This window comes from Homo sapiens, chromosome 16 (assembly GCF_000001405.40).
Source record: "Homo sapiens chromosome 16, GRCh38.p14 Primary Assembly".
Taxonomy (NCBI): Eukaryota; Metazoa; Chordata; class Mammalia; order Primates; family Hominidae; genus Homo; species Homo sapiens.
In genome coordinates, this window is record NC_000016.10 from 47,772,357 (window position 1) to 47,780,207 (window position 7,851).

Genomic DNA, 7,851 nt, shown 5'->3' on the forward strand with positions numbered 1-7,851 from the left:
CTTGTACACTGTGTCTTTGTTCTCATTGGTTTTAAAGAACATCTTTATTTCTGCCTTCATTTCATTATTTACCCAGTAGTCATTCAGGAGCAGGTTCTTCAGTTTCCATGCAGTTGGGTGGTTTTGAGTGAATTTCTTAATCCTGAGTTCTAATTTGATTGTGCTGTGGTCTGAGAGACAGTTTGTTGTGACTTCTGTTCTTTTACATTTGCTGAGGAGTGCTTTACTTCCAACTATGTGGTCAATTTTAGAATAAGTGTGATGTGGTGCTGAGAATGTATCTTCTGTTGATTTGGGGTGTAGAGTTCTGTAGATATCTATTAGGCCTTCTTGGTCCAGAGCTGAGTTCAAGTCCTAGATATCCTTGTTAATCTTCTGTCTCATTGATCTGTCTAATATTGACAGTGGGGTGTTAAAATCTCTCATTATTACTGTCTGGGAGTCTAAGTCTCTTTTTAGGTCTCTAAGGACTTGCTTTATGAATCTGGGTCCTCCTGTATTGGGTGCATATATATGTAGGATAGTTAACTCTTCTTGTTGAATTGATCCTTTTACCATTATGTAGTGGTCTTCCTTGTCTCTTTTGATCTTCGTTGGTTTAAAGTCTGTTTTATCAGAGACTAGAATCACAACCCCTGGTTTGTTGTTGTTGTTGTTGTTGTTGTTGTTGCTTTCTATTTGCTTGGTAGATCTTCCTGCATTCCTTTATTTTGAGCCTATGCGTGTGTTTGCATGTGAGATGGGTCTCCTGAATATAGCATACTGATGAGTCTTGACTCTTTATCCAATTTGCCAGTCTGTGTCTTTTAATTGGGGCATTTAGCCCATTTACATTTAAGGTTAATATTGTTATGTGTGAATTTGATCCTGTCGTTATGATGTTAGCTGGTTATTTTGCCCATTAGTTTATGCAGTTTCTTCATAGCTTGGATATTCTTTACCATTTGGCATGTTTTTGCAGTGGCTGGTACCGGTTGTTCCTTTCCATGTTTAGCACTTCCTTCAGGAGTTCTTGTAAGGCCGGTCTGGTAGTGACAAAATCTCTCAGCATTTGCTTGTCTGTAAAGGATTTTATTTCTCCTTCATTTATGAAGCTTAGTTTGACTGGATATGAAATTCTGAGTTGCAAATTCTTTTCTTTAAGAATGTTGAATATTAGCCCCCACTCTCTTCTGGCTTGTATGGTTTCTGCCAAGAGATCTGCTGTTAGTCTGATGGGCTTCCCTTTGTGGGTAACCTGACCTTTCTCTCTGGCTGCCCTTAACGTTTTTTCCTTCATTTCAACTTTAGTGAATCTGACAATTGTGTGTCTTGGGGTTGCTCTACTCGAGGAATATCTTTGTGGTGTTCTCTGTATTTCCTGAATTTGAATGTTGGCTTGCCTTGGTAGGTTGGGGAAATTCTCCTGGATAGTGTCCTGAATAGCATTTTCTACACTGTGTTCCATTCTCCCTGTCACTGTCCAGTATACCAATCAAACGTAGATTTGGTCTTTTCACATAGTCCCATATTTCTTGGAGGCTTTGTTCGTTTCTTTTCACTCTTTTTTCTCTAATCTTGTCTACTTGCTTTATTTCATTAATATGATCTTCAATCACTGATATCCTTTCTTCCACTTGATTGAATCAGCTATTGAAGCTTGTGCTTGCATCAAGAAGTTCTCATGCCATGGTTTTCAGCTCCATCATGTCGTTTAAAGTCTTCTCTACAGTGTTTATTCTAGTTAGCCATTCGTCTAACCTTTTTTCGAAGTTTTTCTCTTCGTTGCAATGGGTTCAAACATCCTCCTTTAGTTTGGAGAAGTTTGTTATTACCGACCTTCTGAAGCCTACTTCTCTCAACTCATCAAAGTCATTCTCCATCCCGTCTTGTTCTCTTGTTGGCGAGGAGATGCAATCCTTTGAAGGAGAAGTGACGCTCTGGTTTTTGGAATTTTCAGCTTTTCTGCTCTGGTTTCTTCCCATCTTTGTGGTTTTTTATCTACTTTTGTTCTTTGATGTTGCTGACCTACAGATGGGGTTTTGGTGTGGGTGTCCTTTTTGTTGATGTTGATGCTATTCCTTTCTGTTTGTTAGTTTTCCTTCTAACAGTCAGGTCCCTCAGCTGCAGGTCTGTTGGAGTTTGCTGGAGGTCCACTCCAGACCCTGTTTGCCTAAGTATCACCAGCGAAGGCTGCAGAACAGCTAGTATTGCTGTCTGATCCTTCCTCTGGAAGCTTCATCCTGGAGGGGCACCCACCTGTTTCAGTTGTCTGTCGGCCCATACTGGGAGGTGTTTCCCAGTCAGGCTACACAGGGGTCAGGGGCCCACTTGAGGAGGCAGTCTGTCCATTCTTGGAGCTGGAATGCTGTGCTGAGAGAACCACTGCTCTCTTTAGTGCTGTCAGACAGGGAAGTTTAAGTCTGCAGAAGCTGTCTGTTGCCTTTTGTTCTACTATGCCCTGCCCCCAGAGGTGGAATCTATAGTGGCAGTAGGCCTTGCTGAGCTGGGATGGGCTCCACCCAGTTCTTGCTTCCAGGCCTCTTTGTTTACACTGTGAGCTACTCAAGCCTCAGCAATGGAGGACGCCCTTCCCCCTATTTCAATAGATATTTAAAAAGCATTCAAGAAAATTGAACATCACTTAATGAAAAAAACTCTCAAAAAATTGGTGAAGAAACATACTTCAACTTGATAAGGACCATGTATGACAAATCCACAGTTAATATCATACTGAATGGGGAAAAATTGAAAGCCTTTCCACTAAGATCTGGAACAAGACAAGAATGCCTACTTTCATCACTTTTATTCAACATTGTACTGAAAGTCCTAGCTAGAGTAATTAGACAAGATTAAAAAAAGTAAAGGGCATCCAAACTGGAATGAAGTCAAATTGTACTTGTTTACAGATGAAACAAACTTATATTTAGAAAAACCTAAACACTCGACTCAGAAACTACTAGAACTGATTAAGGAATTCTACAAGCTATAGGATACAAAATAAAGCTGGAGATATCACACTATCTGACTTAAAATTATACTATAAATCTATAGTAACCAAAACAGCATGTACTGGTACAAAAACAGACCCATAGACCATTGGAACAGAATAGAGAACCCAGAAATAAATCCACACACTTAGGGCAACTTATTTTTGACAAAGACATCAAGAACATACATTGGGAGAAAGGATAATCTCTAATAAATAGTGCTGAGAAAACTGGATATCTGTATGTAGAAGAATGAAACTGGATCTCCATCTTTTACCACAAAGAAGAATCAACTCAAAATGGATTAAAGACTTAAATGTAAGACGTGAAACTATGAAACCACTAAAAGAAAACACTGGGGAAACACTACAGGACATTGATCTGGGCAAAGAGATTTTGAGTAAGACCTCAAAAGCACAGGCAACAAAGGCAAAAATATACAAATGGGATTACATCAAGCCAAAAAGCTTCTGCACAGCAAAGGAAATGGTAAAAGAAGTAAAGGGATAACCTGAAGAATGGGAGAAAATATTTGCAAACTCTCCATCCAACAAGGGATTAATATCTAGAATATAAAGGAAACTCAAATGACTCGATACCAAAAAACAAACAATCTGGTTTTAAAAATGGATTAAATACCTGAATCGACATTTCTCAAAACAAGAAATACAAATGGCCAGTAGATATATGAAAAATGGCCAACATCACTAATCATCAGGGAAAGCAAATCAAAACCACAATGAGATACCATCTCACTCAGTTAGAATGACTGTTATCAAAAAGACAAAAAATAACAAATGCTGGCGGGGATGTGGAGAAAAGGGAACATGCATACACTGTTGGGGAGGAAAGTAGTACACAGTTATGGGAAAAGTATGGAGGTTCCTAAAAAAACTAAAAATAAAACTACTATATGATCCAGCAATTCCACTGCTAAGTATATAACCAAAAGAAAGGCAATCAGTATCTGAAAGCAATATCTTCACTCCCATATTTATTGCCTCATTATTCACAATACCCAAGATAAGGAACCAATCTAAGTGTCCCTTAATGAATAAATTCATAAAGAAAATGTACCTATACAGAATGGAATATTATTTGACCATAAAAAATGAAACCTTATCATTTAAAGCAACATAGATGGAACTGGAGGTCATTATGGTAAGAGAAACAAGCCAGGCACAGAAAGACAAACATCATGTGTTTTACTCATATGGGAGAGCTTAGAAGGTGGATGTCATGGAAGGAAAGGATAGAATGGTGGTCACCAAAGGCTGGGAAGGGAAAAGGAAAGGGAGGTACGAAGATAAATGGATTAAGGGGTAAAAATATACAGTTAGATAAAAGAAATAAGTTCTCGTATTCACTAGTATAGTAGGGAAATTATAGTTAACAATAATTCATTGAGAAGAATTCTAACATTTCCAACACAAAGAAAAGGTAAATGTTTGAGGTGATGTATATCCCAATGATACTAATTTGATTATTACACATTGTATAAAGGTATCAAAATATCACACATACCCCTAAAATATGTACTACTATAATATAGCAACAAAACATTAAAAAAAAAGAATACAAGAAGAAGAAGACCCATTTTCGTGGAGGGAATCAGATAATAAAACAGGACACATAGTAGGCAAGTTGGTGATATGTGATTTGGAGGAAAATAAAACAATGGAGTCTTAGAAGAGAGTCACAATTTAAATAGGGAGGTCAGATAAGGCCTTACAACTCAGTTGATCTCTGAGAAAAGGAGAGAGGGAAGGAGCCATCTTGGTTTCTGGGGGCAGAGTACCTGGTTGGAGGAAATAGCAACTGTGCAGAGCCTGTAGTGGGAACCTGCCTAGATTATTTGAGGTCTTTGTGGCTGGAAGGGAGTTAGTTAGGGGAAGGGCAGGGGGACTAGAATGTATTGTTTTATGGGCCATTGTGGGAACCTTGGCTTTTACTCTTAAGGAAATGAGGATTTTGAACAGAGTTGTGACATACTATGGCTTGTGGTTTAGCAGAAGGTGATATAAAAAATACATGTGGTCTTCATCTCCAGTTTCTGGCACAGAATTCCTAAAACCTTTGGAATTTGCTGAGTGATGGGAGTGTTTTTTGTATGTAAACAAGATGATTCAAGGGGTGGGAAAGCCCTAGAGAGTTTCAGGGTGGGGCTGGTCACCAGAATAACAAACCCTTGCTTAGAGGGTTAGAACTTCCAGACTTACCTCCTAGCTCTAGGGAGAGGAATGGGACTGCAGATGGAGTTCATTCTCCAGTGGCCAATGATTTAATCAAAACTGCCTATGGAATAAAAGCTCCATTAAAACTCTGAAACTACTAGAGTAGGTGAGCTTCCAGGTGGATGAACATATTGATGTGCTGGGAAGTTCAACTGCCTGGAGAAGGCACAGAAATTCTGCACACCCCACCCTCAATCTTCCAATGCCTTCACCTGTGCATCTCTTCCCTTTGGCTGTTCCTGAGTTGTAGCCTTTGTAACAAAACTGTAATGGTAAGAATAGCACTTTCCTTAGTTCTGTGAATCACCCTAGTGAATTATCAAACTGAAGGAGAGAGAGCAGTCGTGGGAACTCTTGAATTAGTAGTTGGCCAGGAAGAAGTGCAGGTAGCCTGGGGACCCCATTTGTGGCTGGGCCCTGAAGTACAGGCAGTCTTGTGGGACTTGTAGAACCCTTAACTTGTGGAGGTCTGTGCTAACTCTGGGTAGTTAGTGTCAGAAATGAATTGAATTATAGGAAACTCAGTTGGTATCAGAGAACTAGAGAATTGGTTATTGGAAAAGAGACAAAACACCGAATGACTCTGACTCTTGTGTGGAGGGTAGTAGGAAGGGGACCAACAGCAGAAGAGTCAGGGAGACAAACCAGCCACCTAATGTAAGTAACTGGGAGAGACAGCAGCAGTCATGATAAGACATACTTGTGATGCAGTGTGGGCAAGCCCCAAATTTGGGGCTTAGCCAGGGAGAGTTCTTGGCTTCACCCAGGAAATAATTCAAGGGTGAGGTGGTGGTGGTAGCAGCTGTTATTGAAGTGGCAGTGTATGGCCGCAGCAGAGGTCCTGCTCCTTGCAGAGCAGGGCTACCCCATAAGGCAGTGCGCCCAGAGCAGCGGCTCAGGGGCAGTTCTGCAGTCACATTTATAACCACTTTTAATTATATGCAAATTAAGGGATGGAGTATTCAGAAATTTCTAGTAAGGGGCAGTAACTTCTCGTGTTGCCATGGAAAGGGGTGGTAAATCTTAGGCGTTGCCATGGCAATGGTAAACTGACATGGAACACTGGTGGGGTGTCTTATGGAAAGCTGCTTTCCATAAGACCCTGTCTTAACTAGTCCTCAATTTGGTCCAGTGTCTGAGCCTTCCTCCTACCTCACTTGGATTATGGATGTATTTTGAAGAGAAAATCACTGTGATTTGCTTATGGGTTCCATCTGGGATGGGAGAGAAAGAGGAATTGAGACTGATTCAAGGAATTGGGCATGTGGAAATACAATGTAACTCTCAATGCCCCAGTGAAGGAAGTGTCTCTGGAGCCCTCTGGAAACATATTGTTAAGGGCTGGGTTAGCAGGTCACACAAGATTGTCAAAAGACAAAATTACAACAAATTCAGTTTGAAGATCTTAATTGGTTTTTATCTGCAATTCTAGAATAAGGCAACAACTCATAAAACAAAATGAGTGTTCCGTTGAGCCAAGCAAAGGAGGTTGGTTTTATAGACAGTAAAGGGCTGAGGAAAGCAGAAACAGAACAAAAAATGGGTTGGTTGTTTCAAAGTTACTTTTCTTCTAAAGCAGAAAGAACTTTTTAAAATTATGCTGGCTTAAACTGGCCTGTTTGGAGATTTGGTTATTCTCTCTCTCTCCTGATTTCTTGGAAAGTTAGATTAACAGCTTAATTTCAGCTTGGTGGTATGGAACTTCAGCAAGAGTGACTTCAGTTTGATTTGGTTTGTTGGGCCTGGTGCAAAAGTTCAGTTCAAACAAATAAATAGCCTCCTCTAAATCTTATTTAGCATAATAAATCCCTTCCAACACTCCCATCCTCCTATGCCTGTGAATTTCTTCTCCTATATTGTACCAAGGAATTTCTGGCATTTACACTACATTCAGTGTAAGTCACCATTTAGTCCACTCTCACTCAACCAAATAAGCCACAGTTAGAACCATAGCTGTCTCCAGCACACTGAATCCAGAGAGTCTAGTAAGTGCATTCACATTGATGGATGCAGATGGAACTACAACTGCTTCTGCCTCCTGTGCACATTCTTCTGGCAAGTTATCTGGTGGCTTCTTGCTCCTGCAACCCACCTCCTCCAGGAAATGTTCCCTGAGTCATTGCCAGCACAGTGACAAGCTCCCCAGAGAGGCAGCCCACTCGTGAGCCCAGCTCACTTATCTCATCTTCCTGCGTTGGGGAGGAAACTGCCTCCAGAGACCGGAATTCCTGGGGCCTGCAGGGATACCCCCGATGCTGCAGGGGGAGGGACGGAGCTCCCAGGCCCCTTCCTACCAGAACGTTCTACAACCCCCATATAAATTCTTAGAACCCAGAGTTCCACGGAGCATGAAACAGTCATCTGCTTTCACTTTCATGTTATTGAAATCATGTGACATCACAAGGTCACAGGGCTGGACCAAGAAGGGAACAAGACTTGGATCTCCTTCCAAGGTGTGCAAGAGGGCCATGTTGTAACATATTAACAGTATCTTTCATAAAAGAGGGGAGACAGCCAGTGGTGATGAAGAGAGATTTTTTTTTTAAGTTTTCAATTAAGGAACTTGAAATTCTGAACATTTACATGTGAAATTCAGCTGCAGCATATCTGGATATAAATAATACATTGAAATTTATGTAGTTAAGCTT

General features: G+C 40.6%; 2 annotated features.

The window, feature by feature from the left end:
* Positions 7,141-7,230: an enhancer, noted in NCBI's record as "active region_10787". NCBI's record gives its function as "activates an Ori minimal core promoter by ATAC-STARR-seq in GM12878 lymphoblastoid cells {active_cell/tissue: GM12878}" and the evidence as "EXISTENCE:reporter gene assay evidence [ECO:0000049][PMID:35858748]".
* Positions 7,291-7,640: an enhancer, noted in NCBI's record as "active region_10788". NCBI's record gives its function as "activates an Ori minimal core promoter by ATAC-STARR-seq in GM12878 lymphoblastoid cells {active_cell/tissue: GM12878}" and the evidence as "EXISTENCE:reporter gene assay evidence [ECO:0000049][PMID:35858748]".